This window comes from Homo sapiens, chromosome 12, assembly GCF_000001405.40.
Source record: "Homo sapiens chromosome 12, GRCh38.p14 Primary Assembly".
Taxonomy (NCBI): domain Eukaryota; kingdom Metazoa; phylum Chordata; class Mammalia; order Primates; family Hominidae; genus Homo; species Homo sapiens.
Genome location: NC_000012.12, coordinates 72,580,938 through 72,607,940, shown reverse-complemented (window position 1 = coordinate 72,607,940; position 27,003 = coordinate 72,580,938). Strand labels below are relative to the sequence as shown.

At 33.9% G+C, this 27,003-nt stretch overlaps 1 protein-coding gene across 5 annotated transcripts in view, besides 1 other annotated feature; it reads right to left on the bottom strand.

The window, feature by feature from the left end:
* Positions 1-27,003, bottom strand: part of TRHDE (thyrotropin releasing hormone degrading enzyme) — a 583,493-nt gene that overhangs the window by 62,818 nt on the left and 493,672 nt on the right. Inside the window, exon 13 of one of the 5 annotated variants that reach the window (XM_005268819.6) lies at positions 19,128-25,714. The exons of the other annotated variants lie outside the window; for them this stretch is intronic. Within the exon in view, the coding sequence (XP_005268876.3) occupies positions 25,702-25,714 (13 nt within the window). The 3' untranslated portion in view covers positions 19,128-25,701. Of the gene's footprint in view, positions 1-19,127; positions 25,715-27,003 lie in introns of those variants that run through there. 5 annotated transcript variants of the gene reach the window in all.
* Positions 16,834-17,019: a silencer, noted in NCBI's record as "fragment chr12:72984702-72984887 (GRCh37/hg19 assembly coordinates)". NCBI's record gives its function as "represses an EF-1alpha promoter that drives an FKBP-Casp9 reporter gene in an ReSE screen in phorbol 12-myristate 13-acetate-treated (for megakaryocytic differentiation) K562 erythroleukemia cells {active_cell/tissue: K562(+PMA)}" and the evidence as "EXISTENCE:reporter gene assay evidence [ECO:0000049][PMID:32094911]".

Below are 27,003 nucleotides of genomic sequence, written 5' to 3'. Positions count from 1 at the left end.
CCAAAAAGTGGAACATTTTTGAAGGAAAAATAGAAATACTTTTGAGAGTGTATTCTAGTGATGCTAAAGGGAATGATGGCTTTAAAAAGAGGAAAGGCTTGGAAAGGCTTTAAAAGAGCAGCCAAAAAAGACAGAGGGACTCTACCAAGAGCAAAGCGATAGCAACACATTTAATCTGTGCTCTAAAACCAACTTAAAGAACCTCCTGGCCAAAGTTAGACCATTTTTGAGTGTCATTAAGAATAAAAACTGCTATGACTTGAAACCTATCTGATAGACTTAAATTCATAAGGTCAAAATGATACTTAAAGACAAAACCAAACAAAATAATTGGTCACTATGGAGCATGCTAGAGAACTGGCTCATTAGTTTTGAAACTGAAAAATAAAGAAAACCATCAAGGATTTATTCTGACTTTTTAAAAAAAACTGTATCACTGGTTGCCAAATAGTAAACAACAGCAAGTTTCTCTTTGAAAAACTATTCCATTTTCACATAAAAAAAATCAATGAAGGAAACAGCATTTTGCAACATCCAGTGAATTAAAGATTCAGACATTGAACAGCAACAGTTGTGAATATCATAAAAAGAGATACAATTATTTATGCTATGTGTGCATACAGAATCAACTCTGAAGTAATCTTGCCAAAAATTTAAACCTGTACTGGATCAAGCCTCTAGATTCAGTTACCGATTTACAGGGAAAAGAGGGGACAGAGGAACACATAAAAGTGCACAGTGCGGATGCAATTAGCAAAATCCAGACTGTGGAAAGTTGAGTAGGACAAACAACCTTCCTCACTAAATTGTTGGGAAGGAAATTTTTTTTAATTAAAATGAAAAATAAATAGTTTTAAAAGACTTGAAAAGATATTAACTACTCACTGAGCAGTAAAATCATTTAGATCCTAATTTAAGCAAACTGTGAAAAGAATATGGCATTTATGAAACCATTGGAAATTTGAACGCTTCCTGGATAGTTGATATTATTAAAGGGATGTTAATTTTTAGATGGTCATGTTTAATAATAATTATTATTAGAGATACACAGTGAAATTATTTAAATAAATTAATTTGAAGTGTGGAATTTGCTTCAAAATAGTATAAAAGGTTGGATGGGGACATGGATGAAATAAGACTGACCATGAGTAAACAATTGTTGATGCAAAATGACTGATACAGCAGTTTCATTACACTCTTTTTCCAGTGTGTGTGCATATTTGAAATTCTTCACAATAAATAGTTAAAAAACAAAGTAGGGTCTAAATCTTATTTATCTCTGTATCCCCAGTATGTATCATAAAGCCTTCCTATGGCATATGCTTAAGAATATTTGCTGAATAACAAACTTCAAGAAAGGTGACCATTTTAGTCTCAGTTTCTTCCTTTATAAAATGGGGGAAACAGTATTTCCTTTCCAGCGTCATCGTGAGTTAAAAGACAAGAAATGGAAGAGTATTTCGTAAACTGTAAAGTGCCACACAAAGGTGGCAGCCTTAAGACTGAAGAACCAGAACTAGAATTCAGCATCACGTGCCATGCATCTATATTCTGACCTTGATTTGTTCCCTACATTGAGCTAATAAACTCATGTACAGATCCCAGCACATTCATTTTCCCCTTAGGGACAAAGTACCAAATGGTAGTGTAATTGCCAAGGGAAAATTATTACTCTGTTCTGAGTTATTTCCATCATAAATCCGAAACCAGTCAAACAGTCTCTGTCACAAAAATGACAGGGTTGCTGTACAGTGATGAGAATCCCACATACAAGTGCCCCATAAATTCGTGAGTATCACAACCCTCCAAAGTCATTCTGAATCATGTGTTTAAATCAGAAGTGGGAAGTCAGACTGGCAGCATGTTGGTCAACACTGTGGAAACAATGAAAATGAAGTGATTTACTCAGCCATCAGTTAGAGAAATATCCTATCATCTGTCTCATGTAGATTGTACAACATAAGAAGGACATTTTGTTTGTCTTTAAACATTTATCTATTGTATCCAAGGAAAAAAGGCTTTTTTCATTTAGTAACAATAATAAACAGTCATCCATATTTCTTACATTGAATTACAGCTGCAAAAAGATATTAGAGCTCGTCAAAGAAACTATTTCAAGCAATAATGAATAATAGAAAATGGATAGAGAAGGACACACCTTCTATGTGTGTCATGCATTTTCACCTTCTCTCATCTTAGTAAAATATTCATTTTTACTTACAGAGAAATGAAATATCTAATCTAATTCTTTATGATTTAAAGTGATCTTTTCCTGCCTCTCAGAATATTATGCTGTATTCCAAATTAGAGTTAAAATCCCTCAATGCTATTGCAGATGAAGTGTGGAAAGAAAAAATATGTTTCATTACCAGTGAGATAGAAAAAGGACTTCAAATACACAATTCTTTGTATAGAAAACACTTTAGTATCCTCTAAAATACAGTTGTGTCCACTTGAAACCATCTTTCAGGAAGCAGGAATATTAGATTTTTGGTACTTTGCTCTCCCTCATAAGGGTGCTAAATAGTAACTGAAAGAAATAAAGGGCAAAGCTAAAAAAATACATTGAGTCGCAAGGAGTATAATGTAAATGGTGACATAGAAATAATGCTAACAGCTTATTTTAAAATTTGAACCTACAAAGAGTTTCAGAATTATTTAAGGAAATTTTTAATACTTAGAATTAAAATACTCTGAAAGCGTTTTGAAATCATCTAACACCTATATATTATAATAACTGATACTTTTTGTCCTTTGGGACATTAACTTATAGTTTATAAAACATCCAGGGACAGAGGTATTATAGGGAAGATAGTTGCTTCTAATAGCTACCTACTTATCAAATTTCTCAATTTTAGTTGCAACTTCCAGTGTCACAAAATTCAAAATACACTATTCATCTAGAAATATTTAATTACTCTTGGATCTGCAGCTCAGAAATATGACTGTAACTTTCCCTTGATTTTCTTTAATGGTGATAATGTTCAAATAAAACGTAGAAAAAGTAATGATAATGATGTTCTAACTCCTTAATGATGATTAACAATTAGAAGACATTAATGGTATAGATTTACCATGTTCTAATAGTGACACTCATTAATTTTAATAACAGTCTCATAGTTAAGTTCATGCTTACTGTCTGAAAATTTACCCCTCATTAACACTTGTAAGAAGTAATTTTCTAAAGTTGAAGCATCAATGAAAATACAAAATAACAGCAGAAAAGTGCTAGTTAATTCAGAACAAGTATATTAATATTATTCCAAAATGTGAGTGCAAAATAAAGTGACAAAATAAGAATTATATTAGTTTAAGAATATTTTATATTTTGTTAAAATGATCACATATAGTTCAACAATATTGAAAGAATTAGAAATTTCTCTTCAGTAAGAGAACCACTGATACAAGAAGAAAATTCTGGAATCTTAATAAGAGTCATTGTTGTTATTATTTAATATACAATGCTAACAATAATAATTTTCTCAAGAATCACATGTTTAATATTAAGAAGCAGAAACCTAAGAGAAAAGATGATAAAGTGATAAAATCTTCTTCAAAATTGACAGTTTTAGATAAAATGACAGAAACTGGCACATCCCCTAGGACTAAAATGCCCTTTAAAAAAAAACTTAACACCTGCTGCTTGATTATTTCAAAGAGAATTTCATCTCAGTTAAGCTACCTTAAAATAATATTTTTTCCTACGGATTTGTCTGTAGTTTGTTTAATCTGTCTCTTCTGAGTCTCTGCTAAGAAAGATGAGGAAATAAGCACACTTACACTTTATACCACCTGTTTTTTATCCTCTCTGGACTTTTGTTAAATTACTTCTAAATTTTCCTAGTTTACAGATTTACCTTCTATTTTGTAACTTTCATTGTTCTTTTTTTTTATCTTTGATTCCAAGTGTAAGTAAATTCAAGACTCACCATATCCTTTAGCAGCCAAAGGATAACTTGATTACATACAATACTTTGTATTCTAGCCACTGGATTATTTTTGCTTGTAGAAATCTCAGTCTGCCTGAATTTTCTACTTTCCAGCTAACTTGCCTTGTTTAATCTTTAAAGCTCAGTTTAGTCACCAACATGTGTCTCAGTGTTAATCCCTTTGAGTGAGATTTCTTTCCTAAAACACAGGGTGCACTTCAATCTGTATACTTACATTGTTTTTTTGTTGTTGTTGTTGTTTTGTTTTGTTTTTTGTTTTTTGTTTTGAGACGGAGTCTCACTCTGTCGCCCAGGCTGGAGTGCAGTGGCGCAATCTCGGCTCACTGCAAGCTCCGCCTCCCCGTTTCTCGCCGTTCTCCTGCCTCAGCCTCCCTAGTAGCTGGGACTACAGGCGCCTGCCACCACGCCCGGCTAATTTTTTGTATTTTTAGTAGAGATGGGGTTTCACCATGTTAGCCAGGATGGTCTCGATCTCCTGACCTCGTGATCTGCCCGCCTAGGCCTCCCAAAGTGCTGGGATTACAGGCTTGAGACACCGCGCTCGGCCCACACTTACATTGTTATTATAAGAAAGTTTACTCTGCCTATATCTTCACACTTCTTTCCCTTTGCTTTCATAATTATCAAATACAGACACACGAGCACACCAACACACACCACACACACCCGCCAACACACAGGATACCTCTTGTTACATCACTTTCATTGCTTTTTCCATTTCATTTATGTCAACTATCTCCAGCTTACTTTCCATTTGCCTGACAATGATTTCTCCTGAATCTATAAAATTTTTTACTGCTTCTAACATGGCTTTCTTTCTTGCCATGCCAGATCACTTTCATTCTTTTTGTTTCCTTATCTCTTCTTTATTCTTTTGCATGTTTTCTTCAAACTCCCCTCAAAGAAGCCTTATTTCTTTATCTGAACTCTTTGAACTCACATAGATGGGTATATTTGAAGCTTTTGCTTGGTGTTATAGTTCTGTTGTTATGGCTATTGCTAACTATCCTTCTTTTGGTATTTTTCTACCATTCTAAGGATTTCAGTCTGGTTTATGTTTAAATACCATCCATAGTTGAAGGGGCAGGTCCTATCCAGTAGAAGTAGTTGCTGCTGGATTGTGGCTAAAGGGCAATTGTGGGGAATAGATTGAAAAGTAGCAGTTTACATTTAGAGTTGTTATTTCAGACATGGTTCTAATCAAATTAGTGGTTCCATATGTTTAGGGGCATATTTCTGCTCCACAGTCCCATTTCAGAATATGCTGGAGAGCTGTGTGATTCACAGTTCAACCCTGTATATTGCAGGTTCTCATTGTGGTGATTTAGAATTTAATTATTTTTTTCCAGCTGTCTCAATTAATGGTTGCCAAGCCAATTGCCATATATATTTCTTCTCCAGCCCACCACTTCTGCCCCCTGCTTCTTGCAAAAATGGTACTTTTGCATGTCTTCTCTTTCAGGCCTGAATTTGTTTCCTGCTCTTCCATGTGGAGAAAGATGTACCAGTGTAACCCACCATACCTCCAGATTTCATTATTCCAAATAAGGCAGTCCCTTCAGAGATGTGTCTTATTTTTGTAGAGTTCTCTGTCTTATAGAGGATCTGTAATTTTTTCATATTTTCTCAGAATCCTTCTGTATTTTCATCCACAATTCACAATATTTTTCAGTAGTTCTTTACTTTTAGTGTTTGGAGTTGTGTCTGTCTCTGTTTTTTTCTCTCCCTCTCACACACATACAAATGGAGTTTTCAACCCTGTGTTTTCTTTTTCCTTCCTTGCTGGGGTTGTTATTAGACATTGATGTTGGGAAATCAGGGAAATAGAAGTATGTGTATTTCTCTCCCTTCAACTAAGTGTCCTTAAAAATCAAAGCAGAACAAACAAAAAACGGTCCTTCAGAAGGATGTGTGGGGGCCAGCACTCTCATGAAGCTCTGATAGGATATTCAATTAGTATCTATAAAGAATTCAACTTGTTCTTCACCAAATAAATTTTATTTTAATCCTAAGAACACAACCAGACTTCATGTACCCAATTACCTCAAAATTTGTTACCATGTACAGAGATATGGTAGGTTCAGTTTCAGAATACCGCAATAAAGCAAGTATTATAAGAAAGAAAGTCACAAATTTTTTTGGTTTTCCAGTGTATATAAAAATTACATTTACGTTGTACCATAGCCTAGTTAGTGTGCAATAACCTTATATCTAAAGAAAGAATGTATACACATTAATTAAAAGTGCTTTATTGCTAAGAAAAAAGCTGACAATCATCTAAGCGTTTAGTAATCCATAATCTTTTTGTGGTACAGTGTCTTGCTGAATAATAGTGGTGATTGCTGAAGGTTGGTATGCCTGTGACAATTTCTTAAAATAAGGCAACAATCACGTTTGCTGCATTGATTGACTCTTTCATGGAAGACGTCTTTGTAGCATAAGACGTTGTTTGATCACATTTTACCCACAGTAGAACTGCTTTCAAAATTGGAGTTAATCCTCTCAAACCATACTTAATCAAGCAAGTTTTATGTAATAGCAAGTAAGTTTATATAATGTTTTAATCCTTAGTTGTCATTTTAACAAAGCTCACAGTATCTTCACCAGTAGTCGATGACATTTCAAGAAGCCACTTTCTTTGCTCATCCACAAGAAGCAATTCCACATTTGTTACAAAGTTTTATCCTGAGATTGTAGCAATTGAGCAACATACTCAGTCTATGCTTCTGATTCTATTTCTCTTGCTATTTCTACCACATATGTAGTGACTTTTTCCACTGAAGTTTTAAACCTATCAAAGTCATCCCAGACAGTTGGAATCAACTACTTCCAAACTCCTGTTTATGTTGATAATTTGACCTCCTCCCATAAATCATAAATGTTCTTAAAGACATCTGGAATGATGAATCTTCTCCAGAAGGTTTTCAATTGACTTTGCTCAGATCCATCAAACGAATCATTATCTGTGGTAGCTATAGACTTATAAAATGTATTTTTAAAATAATAAGACTTAAAAGTCAAAATTATTCCTTGATCTACAGGTTGTAGAATGGATGTTGTGTTAGCAAGCATGAAAACAACATTAATCTCCTGGTACAACTGTATCAGAGCTCTTGGATGACTAGGTGCATTGTCAGTAATTGTGAAAGAAATGGTTTTCCCTGAGCAGTAGGTCTCAACAGTAGGCTTAAAATATTCAGCAAACCATTCTGTAAATAGATGTGTTGTCATCCAAGCTTTGTTATTTCATATATAAAGCACAGGAAAAGTAAATTTAGCATAATTCTGAAGAGTCCTAGAATTTTCAAAATGGTAAATGAGCATTAGCTTCAACTTAAAGACTCTGCCAAAAGACTCCTGGAACTAATAAACAACTTCAGTAAAGTTTTAGAAAACAAAATTATGAACAACTTGGTAGTATTTCTATACACCAATAACATTCAACCTGAGAGCCAAATCAAGAATGCAACCTCATTTACAATAGCCACACACAAAAATTAAAATACCTCTAGCCAATAAGGTGAAAGATCTCTACAAGGAGAACTATAAAACACTGCTGAAATAAGTCATAGATGATACAAACAAATGGAAAAACATTCCATGTTCATGCATTGGAAGAATCGATATCATTAAAATGGCCATGTTGTCCAAAGCAATCTACAGATTCAATTCTATTCCTATAAAACTACCAACATCATTTTTCACAGAATTAGAAAAAAAACTATTCTAAAATTCATATAAAACCAAAAAGGAGCCCAAATAGACAAACAAATCCTAAGCAAAAAGAACAAAACCAGAGGCATCACATTACCCAACTTCAAACTATACTATAAGACCAAATCTAAGTAAGTAAGCCAAAACACCATGGTAATGGTACAAAAACAGATACACAGACCAATGGAACAGAATAGAGATCACAGAAATAAAGTCGCACACCTACAGCCATCTGATCTTTAACAAAGTTGACAAAAATAAGCAATGGGGAAAGGATTCCCTATTCAATAAATAGTGCTGAAATAGCTGGCTAGCTATATGCTAGAAGAATGAAACTAAAGCTCTGCTTTTCACTATACAAAAAAATTAAGTCAAGATGGATTAAAAATTTAAATGTAAGAACTCAAACTCTAAGAACCCTAAAAGAAAATATAGGATTTTCTAGAAAATCTACCATAATGAAAACACCATTGTGGACATCAGCCTTGGGTAAGAATTTATGACTAACTCCTAAAAATCAATTGCAACAAAAATAGAAATTGACAAGTGAAACCTTATTAAACTAAAGAGTTTCTGCACAGCAAAAGAGATTATCAACGGAGTAGACAGACAAACTAAAGAATGGAAGGAAATATCTGCAAACTATGCATCTGACAAAGATCTAATATCCAGAATCTATCCGAAACTTAAATAGTTAAGCAAAAACCAAATAACCTCATTACAAAGTGGGCAAAGGACATAAACAGATATTTCTCAAAAGAAGGCATACAAGTAGCCAAGAAACATGAAAAATGACCCACATCACTAATCATCAGAGAAATGCAAGTCAAAACCACAATGAGATACTATCTCACATGTCAGAATGGCTATTATTAAAAAGTCAAAAAATAGTAGATGCTCATGAAGCTGTGGAGAAAGGGAACACTTTTACACTGATGAAGGGAATATAAATTAGTTTGGTCCTTGTGGAAAGCAGCCTGTAGAGATTTTCAAATAATCCAGAACTACCATTTGACCCAGCAATCTCATTACTAGGTATATATCCAAAAGAAAATAAATTGTTCTACCAAAAAGACACCTGCACTCTTTATGTTTGTTGCAGCACTATTCACAATAGCAAAGACATAGAATCAATGTAGGTGCACATCAGCAGTGGGTTAGATAAAAATATAGTACATATACACCATGGAATACTATGCAGCCATAAAAAATAAAGTCATGTCCTTTCCAGCAACATGGAAGCAGCTGGAGGCCATTATTTTAAGTGAATTAATGCAGGAACAGAAAAGGAAATACCGCATTTTCTTACTTATAAGTGGGAGCTAAACAATAGGTACTCATGGACATAAAAATGGCAATAATGGATACTTGGGACTATTAGAGGGGTAAGGGAGGGACGAAGGGCAAGGGTTAAAAAACTTACTGTTGAGTACTATGATCATTATCTGGCTGATGGGATCATTTCTATACCAAACCTCAGCATCACACAACATACTCATTTAACAAAACTGCACATGTACCCTCTGAATCTAAAAAAAAGTTGAAATTTAAAAAAAGAAAAGAAAAACTAACCAGGAAGCTAGTCTTAAAAAGCAAAACCAAAATCTAATTAATAAACTTTGCTCTCCAGGAATTCTTCACAATGACCCTTGTGGCTTCCATTTATCGCTATTTGTAATGGCAGGTATTATTCCATGCCCCACTACTTAGACTTGGTTGTATAAGGGACAACCAACTTGTTAACGCATAGGTTTCCAGACTTGATATAGAGATCTATGCCTCACTTGAAGATACTGGACTTTGAGCTGGGACATTGGTTTGTATTCAAAAAAGAAAATTGCAGAAGGTAAGCATTTAAATTCCCAGTTTGCTGATCAATAATATAAATCAAACATGCAAAAAATTGGCATTTCATTTAATATAAAGAAGATATGTGGCAAAACTATCTACTCCTTGAAGTTTATCAAGTAAAGTTTTCTCTACAATTTTCAAATATAAAAAGCAATGTAGAAACTTAGCTGTAAAGTTAGGCAATCAAATATGAATAAAGGTGACTGATTCTATGTAAACAAAATGTTGAATAAAATGTTGATTCTAACTATATTCATAGATAGGATCACTGATGTTAGCTCTGTTAGTTACTAACTATAAACCATTTGAGTTTTTTCTTTGTTTTCCTTTTCTTTTTTTGCCACTTTTTAGGTATGTTACATAATCAATTTGTTCAGGCAAGAGTTGGTTAAATTTGCTCAATTTTTTGGAAAAATAAATATTACCTGGTAATATCTGAGGCAAATGGTATTTTGAAGAATGGTATATTTTAATAAAAAAAGGATTGCAACAGTTTTCCTTTCCTTTTTCCTCCTGAGTTATGACATGTATAAGGAGAAATAGTATAGCACACTAGTGTGTTTAAAGAAGCTTCACATATACTTTCTATTTTAAAAATTATAAAAAAGTCTCATAGTTTCTATTTCAGAATATATATCTATATACATATGTATTTGTGTGTGTATGCATATATATATATATATATATATATATATATATATATATATATATACATACACACACACATATATATACCTCTCTTAGTTTTTTTTTTTTTTTAGACAAGGTCTTGCTCTGGCACCCAAGCTGCAGTGCAGTGGCGTGATCTCGGCTCAGCCCAATCTCCACCTCCCAGGTTCAAGCGATTCTCCCGCTTCAGCCCCCAGAATAGCTGGGATTACAGGCACATGCCACCACGCCTGGCTAATTTTTATATTTTTAGCAGAGACAGGGTTTCACCATGTTGGCCAGGCTGGTCTCGAACTCCTGACCTCAGGTGATCTGCCTGCCTCAGCCTCCCAAAGTGCTGGGATCACAGGCATGAGCCACCATGCCTGGCCCCTCTCTTAGTTTTCACAAATCACTATTGACTAATAATACAATATAAAAAGAATCACGACATTGCTAATAATTACCAAAAATGCATACCATGTAATATTCTAAGCATGTATCCAACACTAAGAAACCCCAAAATATTTTCAGTTCAATGAGGCCTAAAGGAGAGACATTCGTATTTTCACATCAGTGAGTTCCGGCATAGCAGTGTATAACTAGAGACACTTATGTTCTCCAGAGTGACAGCTTTTTACTTTCTTATAGTGCTATCTCAGTGATATAATTCAAATATGGTTAAAACTGGATCACATAAAAAATAAAACTGGTTGGCAAAGGGAACATTTTTAAATGGTCTTTCTATTTTTGCAGATCACTCTAACTAGGTATAGCCACAATTTGTATATCCACTATCTGGAGATTTAAAATCTGAGCATGTTTTTAAATTTAAATTCAGAATAGATTTTCATAATGGTAAGGAATTCCTTTTTAAACTTAAATTTAACAAAGATACTATCATTTTATCTTTTTCATGCTGATTTTTTAAAATGTTTTCCTCCTTCTTCTACATTCATCTGTTGCAGTCACTTTATTTTGAGTCTCTTTGAAAATCATCCTGAAATACTAGCTACGGCTAAAGTGCTTGAGATCAAGTATCAGATAATGCTGAATGGAGATATCTTTATAACATTCATGTGATATTACTTGTCTCCTTCTAGATCAAAGGTCATCCTAAATCTTCAATTGCCACCTCTTCTGTGAAGCATTACGAAATTTTCAGTATACTATCCAGAACTGACCATGCCTTCCTTGGTTATATTTGTATTTAAACCACCCAATATTATTTTAGACAAATATTAAATACCTTAGACCAATGTATTATAAAATGCTGTGTTAGATAATTGTGAAATTACAATAGCTTTCAAAATTCTAAGGCATTTGAGGATATCCTATGAGATTTTTGTTGTATATATCTAGTGCAAAACAGTGTTACAGTGGAGTCCTCATAAACATTTATTCAATGAATGAGTGAACTACATGTATTTCTTATAGCTATGATTTGACGAAGAATTTTTGTTTTCCATGTAAAAGTGATTTTAATAGGTTCTTTGCTCTCAAGCCATATTTATTCAAAGATGTTTGCAACTCCTCTATCCATTTATCAAAACTACTAAAGTTAATATAATATGCAACTGATATATCTAAAATTACATTTTGCATACTGGAAGGATTATTTTGGATTACAATGATATTTCTTACCAAAGGGAAACTAGGAAAGAATATATTACGTAGAAAGATGAATGAAGATGAAAACTGAGAGTCAACAACTTCATCAAAAGGGACTCAGTTTAAAACTTGGGTATATATTTTCAATAATATCAACCCTGAATAATTTGTTCTAAACTGATGTGAAATGAAGGTAAATAGAGAATATCCCTGATTCACTAATTTTTTAGCCCTGAAATCTCAGCTCAATATAATTTATCTTTTGAATATTATGACTCACATTCATGACTGAGTCTGCCAAGGACTGTTATATAATAACAGAAAATATTCATTAAACACTCACTGGGCCTAAGCTATATGGCATGTTTTAATTATAATATCTTATTTAATGTTCAAAATAAAACTCTGATGCAAATATTGTCTTATCCACATTTTGGAGATGGGGAATCTAAGCATAAGAGAAGTTAGTAACTTGCTCAAGGTCACATATTTTATTGAAGCTAAGACTATGTTCATACTTAATTCCAGAGTCAGTGAACTTAACCACTGCACATTTTAATTAAAATTTTTAAAAAGGGAACAATTATATTTTTAAAAATAAACATTTCTTAACTTTTTTGTCTAGAATATAGAATAATATAAAAAGTGAAATGAATGACATCAGTTTTAAAATTAGTCACTCTGGAAAACACTCATATTCTGCTTGAGAGAAATCTGCTTATCTTTAATGACAACTTGACAATTTGTCTCAATAGTTTTAAACGTATTTACAATCATTCCCCTAACAATGAAAGTTCTGAAGACAAATCTTAGTAGATAATTCGTAATAAAAAAATTCATGTACAAAAATATCCTTTATTTTGTTTTTTTGAATGCTTATTTTTGAAAATGCACTTTATTATTATTATACTTTAAGTTTTAGGGTACATGTGCACAATGTGCAGGTTAGTTACATACCTATACATGTGCCATGCTGGTGTGCTGCACCCATTAACTCATCATTTAGCATTAGGTATATCTCCTAATGCTATCCCTCCCCCCTCCCCCCACCCCACAACAGTCCCCAGAGTGTGATGTTCCCCTTCTTGTGTCCATGTGTTCTCATTGTTCAATTCCCACCTATGAGTGAGAACATGCGGTGTTTGGTTTTTTGTCCTTGCAATAGTTTACTGAGAATGATGATTTCCAATTTCATCCATGTCCCTACAAAGGACATGAACTCATCCTTTTTTATGGCTGCATGGTATTCCATGGTGTATATGTGCCACATTTTCTTAATCCAGTCTATCATTGTTGGACATTTGGGTTGGTTCCAAGTCTTTGCTATTGTGAATAGTGCCAAATAAACATACGTGTGCATGTGTCTTTATAGCAGCATGATTTATAGTCTTTTGGGTATATACCCAGTAATGGGATGGCTGGGTCAAATGTTATTTCTAGTTCTAGATCCCTGAGGAATTGCCACATTAGAGTAGTTCATAAGTAAAAGTTTGAAAATATTTCCAAAAACATGAAACTGCCTTATAAAATACAGAAAATACTTTTAATTTTAAATGAATAAAATGACAAGTGGGAATGATTTCAAAACATAAATACCAAATGGGATTATATGAGTAATTCTTATTTGTACTTTATACCTAGTAATATTAAAAAAAAAAAAAAAACTCACATCTGTAATCCCAGAGCTTTAGGAGGCCAAGGCGGGTGGATGACCTGAGGCCGGGAGTTCGAGACCAGCCTGACCAACATGGAGAAAACCCGTCTCCACTAAAAATACAAAATTAGCCGGGCATGGTGGAGACGGGGTTTCTCGAAGTGGTCAGGCTGGTCTAGATATGAAGACACTTCTCAAAAGAAGACATTTATGCAACCAACAGACACATGAAAAAATGCTCATCATCACTGGCCATCAGAAAAATGCAAATCAAAACCACAATGAGATACTATCTCACACCAGTTAGAATGGCGATCATTAAAGTCAGGAAACAACAGGTGCTGGAGAGGATGTGGAGAAATAGGAATGCTTTTACACTGTTGGTGGGACTGTAAACTAGTTCAACCATTGTGGAAGTCAGTGTGGAGATTCCTCAAAGATCTAGAACTAGAAATACCATTTGACCCAGCCATCCCATTACTGGGCATATACCCAAGGGATTATAAATCATACTGCTATAAAGACACATGCACAGGTATGTTTATTGTGGCACTATTCACAATAGCAAAAACTTGGAACCAACCCAAATGTCCATCAATGATAGACTGGATTAAGAAAATGAGGCACATATACACCATGGAATACTATGCAGCCATAAAAAAGGATGAGTTCATGTCCTTTGCAGGGACATAGATAAAGCTGGAAACCATCATTTTGAGCAAACTGTCGCAAGGACAGAAAACCAAACACTGCGTGTTCTCACTTATAGGTGGGAATTGAACAATGAGAACACATGGACACAGGGTGGGGAACATTACACACAGGGCCTGTCAGCAGGGTGGGAGGAGGGGGGAGGGATAGCATTAGGAGATATACCTAATGTAAATGATGAGTTAACAGGTGCAGCACACCAACATGGCACATGTATACATATGTAACAAACCTGCACGTTGTGCACAGGTACCCTAGAACTTAAAGTGAAATAATAATAATAATAAAAGAGTAAAACTCCCTCTCAAAAAAAAAACCTGTATAATATTCATTATTGTCCCAATGAGCATAAATGTATCACTGAATTTATTTCTCTGAAAAAACTGCCATAAGGGTGACAATAAAAGAACATGATCTTTGGAGTCACTTAGATTGGTTTTGATGAATTCCAACTCTTACATTTAATAATAGATTGAAAGTTGTGCAAACAAGTTTACCCTTTCTGAACCTTAGACACTTTATCTATAAAATAGGGGTGAGGTTTCCCTTTTAGACTGGGGCTAAGTGCAATTTCTACAGCATGTATAGTGGCATAGTGACAGCAAAAAACATGTGGAAACACAGCCTTTCTGGACTGGCAACCAAAAATGAACTTGGAAACCATAAACACTGAAGTGAGTAGGAGATCCCAAAAATGAAAGAGACAGCAAGCATATTCCTCAACTCTACTCACTTTTCTGGCTGATCACTGTAGCACTCACATATGAAAGGGATTTTAAAAATTTCACCAGCGGGGCGCGGTGGCTCACGCCTGTAATCCCAGCACTTTGGGAGGCCGAGGCTGGTGGATCGCCTGAGGTCAGGAGTTCAAGACCAGCCTGGCCAACATGGCAAAACCGTGTCTCTACTAAAAATACAACAAAATTAGCCGGGCATAGTGGCAGGTGTCTGTAATCCCAGCTACTCGGGATGCTGAGGCAGGAGAATCACTTGAACCCGGGAGGTGGAGGTTGCAGTGAGCCGAGATCGCACCACTGCACTTCAGCCTGAGTAGCAAGAGTGAGACTTCATCTCAAAGAAGAAAAAAAAAAAAGAAAGAAAAGAAAAGAAATCACCTACAGGCAAAAGGCCTTAACTAATACTAGAGCTGCCTCTACAGAAAAACTGCATTTCAAACCCAACCAAGAAAATTACTTGGAAAAATAAAGGAAACAACAAAAATAGAGAGAGAGAGAGAAAAAAAAAATCACCACAACTTAATGTGCAAACTACCAAGTACATAATCCAAAAATAACTAACTTATGAGGAATCAAAATAATAGAACATACATTAAAAAAATCAATTAACCTTGTTACTGAAATAAACCAGATGTTGGAACTAATGCGAGTACTTTTAAATGGCTTTATAACTGTCCTCAAAGAACTAATACAAAGCATGTACTCATGGTATGTAAAACTCAGGTAAGAAATATAAAATTTCAGAAGAAATATAGAAACATATAAAAATAACCAAATGGAAATTCAAGAGCTAAAAAATACAGTTTCACTGGATAAACTTAACAGCTGGTTGAACATGGGGGAAATGAAGAGAAGAAAAGGTAAATTTGGAAAGAGATCTATACAAATTATTCTTGGCAAAGAATACCAGGGAGAAGGTAGATAATGCCAAATGGCTCACATTAAGTATAACTGGAATAATATAAATACATAAAGAGCAAATGGGAAAGAAAAAAATATTTGACCAATTAAAAGCCAAGCTTTTTTTTTCAAATTTAATGAAAAAAATTTGCAAATACAAAATGCTAAACAAATACCATACAGAATAAGCAGCAAGTGCTTGCATGCATATATCATAGTTAAACTGTCAAAAGTCAAAGATAAAAATCACACTTTGAATACAGGAGGAAAAAAATATACAATTGCATACAGAAATAATGGGAAATTAATGGCTGATTTCTCATCAGAAACTATCGAGGCCAGAAGACATTGAAAAAAAATGTTTAAAGTGGTGGGTGAAAGACACCATCAATCCATAGTTCTATAATAATAATAAAAAAAATTCTTCAAGACCAAAAACAAAATGAAGAAATCTTCATATAAAAGAAAACTCTTAGAGAATTTTTGTCAGCAGAATTGCACTTCAGGAAATAATAGCAAAAAAAAAAAAAAACCCATATCCTTAGAAATTGATGAATAATTCAAAAACTGGCAAATATTAGGGTATGTACAAAATTATTTTTCATCTTTTTTTCTTAATTTCTTCATAAGCATATAAATGTTTTTAAAATTATAACATTTTCTTTTGGGTTTTTTAAAGTATATATATGCATACATTATATGTATATTTTAATACAAAGGCAGGAAGCAAATAGCATATGGACTTATGTAGTTGGAGGATTTCTATATTTTATTTGGTGGGGTAAATTGTTAACCATAAAATAAATGAAAAGTTAAAGATGCTTATTATAGTATGTAGAGTAATGCAGAAAAATTATGCAAAGAAACATAGCTCAAAATCCAACAGTGATATGGATTGGTTGTGTCCACACCCAAATCTCATCTTGAATTGTAGCTTCCATAATCCTCATGTTGTTGGAGGGACCCAGTGGGAAGTAATTGAATCATGGGGGTGGGTTTTTCCATGCTGTTCTCATTATAGTGAATAAGTCTCATAAGATTTAATGGTTTTAAAAAGAGCAGCTTCCCTGCACAGTCTCCTGCCTATTACCACGTAAGACATGCCTTTGCTCCTCCTTTGCCTTCTGCAATGATCGTGAGGCTTCCCTAGCCATGTGAAACTGTGAGTTGATTAAACCCCTTTTTCTTTATATTACCCAGTCTCAGTGTGAGAACAGACTAATACAAATGGAAAAAACAAAAAGTAATTCTGAAATTATCTAGATAATAAAAAGATAGAGGGAACAATAACAGACAAGAAGAAAACAATAACAACAAAATGACAGACCTAAATCCAACTGAATCAATAATTACATTAAATACTAAAAGACTAAACATTCTCATGAAAAGGCAGAGATTGTGAGAATAAAAATTTTTTAAATTATAAGCTGTATAAACATGCATTTTGAGTGTAAAGATACAGAGATATTTCCAGCAAATATATTAAAAGTAATAGCATGCAAAAAATAAGATTAAGAAGGCTGGAGTGACCATATTAATAGCAGATAAAATAAATTTCACAATAAAATGTATCACCAGGTACAAGGAAGATACTTCATAATGATAAAAACATCAATTAATCAGAGATAAACAGAAATGTGTATGTGACCCCATTAACAAAAATATATAAAGCAAAAATTGACTGAATCAAAATGAGAACTAGATAGTTTCCAAATGACTAAAAATTATAAGACCATTCTCTCATCAGTTTATAATACTAGTCAAAATATCAACAAATACGTAATTCTGAATAGCACTACTATTCATCTTGATTTAAATGCTCTGAACAACAGCAGAATACACATTCTTCTTATGTACATATGGTATGTTTACCTGGATAGAGTAATATCTGGGCCATAAAACAAGACTGAAAATATAAAGTTTGAAATCATATAGAGTATGTTCTCTAACCACAATGGAATTGTTTTAAAAATAACAAATAATAAAATATCAATAAAAACAAAAAAAATAAAGTAATATACTTGAGTAATCATTTTTCTCAAGAAGAAATCACATAGGAAATTAGAAAATATTTTAAACTGAATGATACCATATATAAAATTTTATGGGATGCTAATAAAACTGTGCTTTGAGGAAATTTTATGGCTTTAAATGCATATGTTGAAAAGAAAAAATATCTCAATCAGCAATCTAAGACTCCATTTAAAAAACTAGAAACAGTAAAGCAGATTAAATTTTAAGCAGACAGAAGTAAACAATAAAGAGTAGAAATAAATGAAATAGAAAATAGAATAATTTAAAAATTAACAAGACCAGAAACCGATTCTTTGAGAATATCAACAAATTAACTCTAATTAAAAGAATCACAAAAAAGAGAGAAAACAAAACATCAATGTCTGTAATAAGAGAGAAATCATTTTCACAAAACTCATAAGACATTATAAGAATAATAAGAGAATATTATATATAAGTCTATCCCAATGACTGTAATGACCTAGATGAAATGGACAAATTACCAAAATAGACTCAAGAAGAAACAAAATTTGAACAGCTCTATACCAATGAGCAAAATTAAATTCACAATTAAGGACCTTCCCATACAGAGAATTTCAGGCTCACATGGCATCACACCCATCTGATGGTAAATTTTATCAAATATGTATGGTAAATTCTATCAAATAGAAACCCCTAATGCATGTGGGGCTTAAAACCTAGATGATGGGTTGATGGGTGCAGCAAACCACCATGGCACATGTATACCTATGTAACAAACCTGCATGTTCTGCACATGTATCCCAGAACTTAAAGTGTAAGAAAAAAATAAAAGTGCAATAGAAAGAAAAAAAGAAAAGCAAATGAGCATATGAAAAGAGTCTCAACATCATTGGTCATCAGAGAAATACAAATCAGATCGATCATAAGAAAATATATTATTCACCCAACATAATGACTGATGTTTAAAGGAAAACATCTGCATGCATCTCAACTATGATATGTGAACCTCTGTCACTCCAGAGGCTACCAGGGTGCTCTGGGCATCTCTTGATCCTTACCAGGTGATATCGTTTTGCTGTGTCCCCACCCGAATCTCACCTTGTAGTTCGCATGATCCCCACGTGTGGGAGAAACCTAGTGCGAGGTAATTGAATAATGAGGGTGGTTACCCTCATGTTGTTCTTGTGATAGTGAGTTCTCAGGAGATCTGATGGTTTTAAAAGGGGTTTTTCCCTCTTTGCTTTCCACTTCCTTTTCCTACCACCTTGTGAAGAAGGACATGTTTGCTTCCCTTTCCACCATGATTGTAAGTTTCCTGAGGTCATCCCAGCCATGCAGAACTTTGAGTCAATTAAATCTCTTTCCTTTATAAGTTACCCAGTCTCAGGCATTTCTTCATAGCAGCATGAGAATGGACTAATACACCAGGTAAATAGCCATAGTATCATCTTCAACAACAGTCTTTATGGAGTTTGTCCTCATGACCTTTCTAACTAGGCTCCCTGCTTCCACACTCATTCCCTCATAGTATATTCTTAACAGAGCAGACAGAGTCAGTGATCCTTTAAAAACACAGGCCTGGTCATGTCACTCTTCTGCTCAAAACCCTCCCATATGCTTTACCTTTTACTCTGAAAAAAACTGCAAATTCTCACAATAGTTTATTACATGATCAATGTCCTTTTCCTGCCTAAACACATTCAGCCTGCAATGCTCCTTACTTACTCCATTAGAGCCACATCTACCTATCTCTTTTTCTTAAACATGCCAAGCACATGCTCCCTCAGGGCCTTTGCACTTGCTGTTCCTCTGGAATGCTCTACTCAGATGGTTCCCTTATTTACTTCTTTCAAACTACTTCTCAAGTATCAACTGGAAAATGAGGGCTTCCCTGACCACCATATTTAAAATAACTCTTTTCCAAATGTACAAAGCTATTAAATAACAGAAAGATAATACTGACTAACTTTGTATTACAGAATTTGCCATTTGTTAATTATTCTTACTAACAAGCATCAAAAATTAAAATAAGAAAGGTCAATGCACTATAAGCATTGTGAAGTGCTTCTCATGCTTCTTACGATCTTTATTTTGTCCGTGAAAGATGCTTGCTGATCGCTTACCAGTACAGGATAAGGGGAACATATAGTTCATTTAATATTGTGGATATACACTTCAGAAACTGACTTGTTTGCAATGAGAAATAGGTATCGAATGATGATAGCACATACAAACCTGGTAACTAAATATTGAAAGATTTTCCTATAAGCTTTTATGTGTTTTTAAAATTTTAAAATTTAAAAAACAGACCAACAAATTAAGAACATATTTCTGCCTTACATTTAGTTTACCATATCTTTGAAGTAGGTGAATATTTTAAAATTTCTGCATCAAACACTTGTAACTTATGTTACATGTGATAGCTATTTAGTATATAATTCATGTGTATAAAATACTTATCTCTCAGTAATATCTTTATTCCACCAAGAAAATCACTTGAATTCATTTTAACTACATATGAGCTGCAATCCTTTAATTTTAAAATTCTGTATAATTTTTTTAATATGACACCATAAAAAAGATGTCTTTCTGAGGCTAAATATAGTGATTTCACCATAGCATGAAGTGTTATGGCTCTATCTTTGTTATCCATCTACTTTTAGATCTACTTACTTTCAGATAATTCATCTGCCTATCATCTATCTATCTAATCTATCTACGTAACTACCAATCTATCATCTATCTACAAATTCATTAATGTCTACGCTGTATACCTAATTTATTGAAATAACCTACGTATTGCATCTGTTGAAACAAAAATTTTCCTAAGCATTTCTCAACTCTCCATACTTAAAAAAACTGATAATCTACCAATGTTAAAATTCAACAGAATTCAAAAACATTTTAAAATAAAGGGAAATAGGAAACTGGGAAACTCTACAAAGATGAAAATTTAAAAACTACAGTAAACTGGGAGGCCAGAGACTTAATTGCTCTGCACAGTAACTATTTTTCTGTGAATAATTGTAGTTTCACTATCAGTTGAAAAAGGATAAGTAATATTTCCCTCAACATGTCATGGATAAAATTCATGATCTGCCCTCAGCTTACACAATTAACTTTTTTATATTTGCACACTGGGAATGCAACACCAACTAATTTTCATCTATAGTTCTTTTTTATTTTGGCATTTTTGACAGCATTCCCAATAACTGCCCTCTAATTTAGAGTGTGTTTAAGTTAGCATCCACATAAAATTCTGATATTCAATCATTATTCTCTTCAGGGCCTATTAGCCTTACTTGAATTTGTCAAACACAGACTTCTAGACTAACAATATTTTCTTCCTTATTGCAAACTCTTTTTTTTTTTTTTTCATTTTGGTTAGCATGACCACCTGGTGTCCTGGAGAGTTTATACTGAATTTCTGTTTAATCCTCACCCTAATTAGATGAAGCAGCTGAGCAACAGGAAACCTCTGCTACCTCCCGTTAGAGGCGTGAATCAACTGCACTCCAGGCCATTCCTAGTTTAGGAAGGAAGAATCTAATCTGTGATTCAAATGTGATCTGAGTTCACAGGGCCCAGAACTACTTCTTAGCTTCTGTGTTGGCCTGTACTCACATCTTTAACATTAAGCAAGCGTTGACATAGTTGCAACAAGTCAGATTTTCCTAATCTGATGTTTTCTTACATCCAAAATAGTGAAGGCCTCTTCAATGATACTCCACTCCACATAAGGATATTAGAAGCATTCCACAAGGAATAGCTCAAATTGCATGCAATTAAGAGAGAACATCATGTATTTCAAATCTCCTCCTAAGGCTTTACGATTTCCCACATAAACAAAGTGTATGTTACTTCAAATTAACCACTCACTTCATTGCACAAAATCTTAGAACTAGATTTCCTTTATCTTCTTCCCCAAATTATCACCTTTTCATAGTTAAAAATGGAATCTTTTATATTTATGACTAGTGTAAAATAATGTAAAATGCTTATTTTCTATTATCTTATTCTTATCATGATAGCATTGCTACCTTGCCTACAGTTGAAGCCAAAAATAGATTTCATGAGTTCTGGGATAAAAAATATGAGCAGCTCTTTACTTTATCATTGGCTAATCAGCATGTTTAGTAAGAAAGATGATTATCAGAAGGCTCCTCTGACTCTTTGTTCTGAGGTGGGAAAAGATCGTAATGAGACAACTTAAAGCAATAAGTAATTACCCAAACATAAAGCCTGTATTAGTACCTGTATTCATATATTCCTCATTTTAAAAATTTCTTTAGAGTTTAACTAATCATAATAAGAATAAGAGGATTTTTATTTTGAGTTGTTTGAGAAACAGAGTAGATAGAGATCTTTATAAAAATGAGGCTTTTACATTGACAGGACAAATGCCAGAAGGATTCAGTTTAATTTTTCAGTAGTCTTTGTCTACCTCAAAACTCTCATTTTCTTTTCTGGTAGAATAGAATGTCCCATTTTGGCTGAGTCCCTGTCAGACTTCTTACAACAAATCAAAAAGCAAGTAGTTTCTGTCCTCTTTAGTAGAAGCAAAACCAGGTATGCTTTAGTCATATTCTACTTCCTCTTAGAGTAGGCATTAGGATGTGTGTTTACAGATGGTTTGGCGCAGCCTAGGAAAGGGGTCGGTTCAGAAGATCAATGAATATGGTGGATTGTAAGGTAGTATAGAGGAAATAACAATGATGTCTATTTACTGTGGAGTGACCATAAGTACGTGTTGTGAATGTAGGAAAGGGACCGAACAAAAATAACATTTATTTATTGTCAGTTATTTCATAGAGCAAGAATTCCAACTCTATGTAACCTGATAGCCAATGATCTTACCAATCGGGAAAGGAAATCAAATTATACAGACTTAGATTAGTGTTTAAAATGTAAGACAAAGAAGAAAGAGAAAAGACGAAATGAATTTCTAGAATACAGAAATGATCAACATATAAATTTTAATAAAATTAAAAATGATATGAAGAAACAGACATAAAATGACTTGTAGAGGCTATAGTCCCATACTAGCTAAGCAATTTCAAGCAAATGGTTGCCAACAGCCATGGTATACACTGGTCATGTTCAGGCATGTGCAGATAATAGTAGTCAGTTAAATGGCAGGCACCAGGCAGAGGCAGAGCTTCCCTCAGAAGATGATAAAAATAGTGACAAAAAGATAAGATTTTCCCAACACAAAGGCTCTACTTTGGCTATATGCTTATTAGGAGAATATAGGGACAATATGATATTTTTAGAGTACTGTTTCTGTCAAAGAGATATCTGCACTTTCATATTTATTGCAGCAAAGTTATTCACAATAGCCAAATATGGAATTAACCTAAGTTTCTATCAATGGATGAACTGATAAAGAAAATGTGGTATATACACAAAATGGAACACTATTTACCCATAAAAAAGGAAATCCTCTCATTTGTGACAACATGGATGAACCTGGAGGACATTATGTTAAGTGAAATAAGCCAGGCACAGAAGGGAAAATACCACATAATCTCACTTATATGTGGAATCTAAAAAAGATGATCTCATAGAAATAGAGACTAGAACAGTGGTTGCCAGAGGCTAGGGTTGTTGGAGGAAAAAGATCTGGGAAGATATTGGCCAAAGGATTCAAAATTATAGTTATATTAAAGGAATAATTTCAAGAGATCCATTGTACAGCTTGATGACTATAGTTAATGACAATATATTGTATTCTTGAAAAATGCTAAGAGAGTGAATGTTGTGTTCTCATCACAAAAATAATGTAAGATCATGCACACAAGAATTAGCAATACTGAACCATTTCACAACATACATATACTTCAAAACTTCATGTTGTATATGATAAATACATAAAATATTATGTCAATTGAAAAAAAATAAAATGGACCAAACCTACAGAATAATGTCAAAATACTTTGCTTTTACTTTCTACTCAGCACTCTCAGACAGTAGGCATTAATATTAAAACATTTTCTACTATAGAGATGAAACACAAATTTGGTACTGGAAGGTTACAAATTTGCTTTTGATTTAATGCAGCACAATCTAAAAGTCTCTAAGAAAGTTTGTCATCCTTGTAGTCCCAGCTACTCCGGAGGCTGAGGCAGGAGAATGGCGTGAACCCCAGGGGGCGGAGCCTGCAGTGAGCCGAGATTGCGCCACTGCACTCCAGCCTGGGCGACAGCGAGACTCCGTCTCAAAAAAAAAAAAAAAAAAAAAAAAAAAGTTTGTCATCCTTTAGAGCCACAAGCCTGCCCTTAATGCCTCAGGAGATTTGTACTTCTCATAAGTACCTGGTATAGTAGCTCCTCATAAATCCTCATCCCAAGGACAACATCTGTGACTCCACCCTCAACAGATTTCTAAAGACAGCTCAAAGGAATGTATTAACTCAATCTCTAACCTTGAGCAAACCAGCATATTCCTGCAGAAACAGTGTAGCTTGAAAATCCAGAAATATACTCTAGGCTTTTACTGAGTTATAATAGAAATAAGTCTAAAGATTCCCAGCTTGTTACAGTTAAATGTCCTGAAAATGTTTTCAGACTATTTTTAACATTTATCTGTGGCAAAGTGTTGCATAAACTGACTAATTTAGAGGTGTTTTGGATATGAATTTTTAAATAATTGCATGCAGAAAGGTATAAAACAGGAATGCTTCAAGGTGACTTTTTTTGCATGTCTCAAGACTGAGCCTTCACTGATGATGACAAATAGATAATTAGAATCCCCAACCTCAGAGATGTGAGAAATGTGATCTTTTGGGAATGGCCATGAAGCTCCTGGAACGATTCACTGTGAGACACTGCTCATATCATGGAACAACTTATACCGGTTAGAAAGGCTGAGAGGATAACAACAAGCTAATTTTAATAACTTTTGGTCAATGGCAGAAGAGTGGAAGCATATAGTCAACAATAAATCGTAGTTTGCAATAAATAATTTTATAACTTTCAGGACTTCATAATCATTTAATATTTATCCTTTTGCACACATATTCTGGTGGTTTAACAAAAGATAACTAAGAGCTATAACCATACATGGACGCCACTCTCAAATGAATCTAATACAAACAGCTGAAGAGTCATCCTTCTCTCCATGTCCAATGACAGCAATAAACAATACATTCAAATCAATGTTCTATTATTATTAATAATGCTCATAATTTCATTGTAAAACACAACTAAAAGAAAAATGTTTATACTGAGATTTGTATAGTACTGTAAAAACAGAAAAAGATAGGGATTAAATAAATAATTTTGAAACGAAGCATCCTTCATAAAATCAACAGTTATAAAGCATTAGGCAGGATATTAGAGGGATCTAGGATCCTTAATCAGGTTTTTCATGGCAGTTTTCAGTTGAAGTGATGTAGTCCTGTTATCTCCATTATAGAGTGAGGAAATCAAAACAAAAAGTCCAGTCTGCCAAAGTATTTCTCACAAAAGGTTTATAATTCCTTCTCAATTTCATTTTTGAAACGTTAGCACATTACACATTTAAACAACCAGCTATCAAAGCAGGAAAAACTGCTACTCATCTAGCCAGGGTCAGGGTGCACTTGCTTTTCAGGCACATTATACTACTATTTACTGCAATAAGTGAAAAAATGATCAACATATGTTTTGCAAGAGAAACCTTAAACGAGGTACAAGAGAGCCATCCAGAAGACACAAAAAAACTTCTAACAAAAGCCATGCCGAAAAATGTCCCAAAAGGAGCAAATTACTTCCACAGTTTGCAAATGTTGTTAAGGTTATTTTAACAATGCTGTTTCCATTTCTGAAACCAGGCTCAGAAATGAAAAAAAAAATCTGTAAGTTTTTGAAATGTTCTCATAATTTTCTTCTTCTTTAGCCATTATATTTTCAGTGGCTATTATGCTGAATTCCCAGGCTTCTAATATATCTCAAATGTATAAGCTGTTAGACAAGTAAATAAAAGCGTATTATTTTTTAACTTATATATTCATCAAACATATATTATGCACTACTGATGACTGCTCTCTAGTGCCTACAGCACTTTTTTTTTTTTTTTTTTTTTTTTTGAGACGGAGTCTCGCTCTGTCGCCCAGGCTGGAGTGCAGTGGCACCATCTTGGCTCACTACAAGTTCCGCCTCCTGGGTTCAAGCAATTCTCCTGCCTCAGCCTCCCGAGTAGCTGGAACTACAGGCGCCTGCCACCTTGCCCGGCTAATTTTTTGTATTTTTAGTAGAGATGGGGTTTCACCATGTTAGCCAGGATGGTCTTGATCTCCTGACCTCGTGATCTGCCCACCTCGGCCTCCCAAAATGCTGGGATTACAGGTGTGAGCCACTGCGCCCGGTGCCTACAGCACTTCTAAGAGGGACAAACATAATCTCTAGACACAGGTCCTTATGCTTTTTAATAAAACACTAATAATTTACAAAAAAGTAACGTCTTATTTCTTAACAAAGTTTGTGAACTAAAAATAATTTGCCCTCATCATGGGAAAATTTGTAAACGACTGGATTTTTTAACAGAGTAGTCTATAACAGAATTTTAAAAATGTTACACATGCTTAAAAAGTATGTTATGATATTAAAAACACAATAGATATGCACGTGTTTTGCAAAATTGAATATTCCAGGAAACTGGTGACTAAATTTTTAAAGTTAACATAGTAACTGCCCAGGGCAAGGAGGACTATGATGATATTTATGATGATGATGATAATGATGATCATGATTTAACCCTGTGATGCTTTTGGGTATACACAATTTTCCAAATAATTTTCATGTATTTTGGATATTTTCAAATAATGCCATGTGAATTCACAACCCAGTGATATGCACATTTATAACTTTAAAAAATTGTACTCAGAGCATGTTAAAAGCTTTAAATACCCAACCCGTTGATTATATTTTCTATTGCAAATCTTTTAAATATTTAGTTTCTATCATATAATAACTGATAAATAATTTCAACAATTAAGTAAGAATTTTCACCTTATCTGGCTGCCAATTCCACTCCAGAGAAATCTCAAATCTCTGCTTTATCCAAATTGTGCCATGAGGCATTGCTGCTGTAATAGTTCTGCCATACGTTTATTCTCTAGTTTATACTTTTTTTTTTGCTTTCATTCTCTTACTTTTAAGCATTTAATGTATTCCCATAGTAAACTTTCACTCTCCCGATGGTATTTCCTATAGGATATTTTGATGTTTTCCATAATCTTCCTAGGCCACAC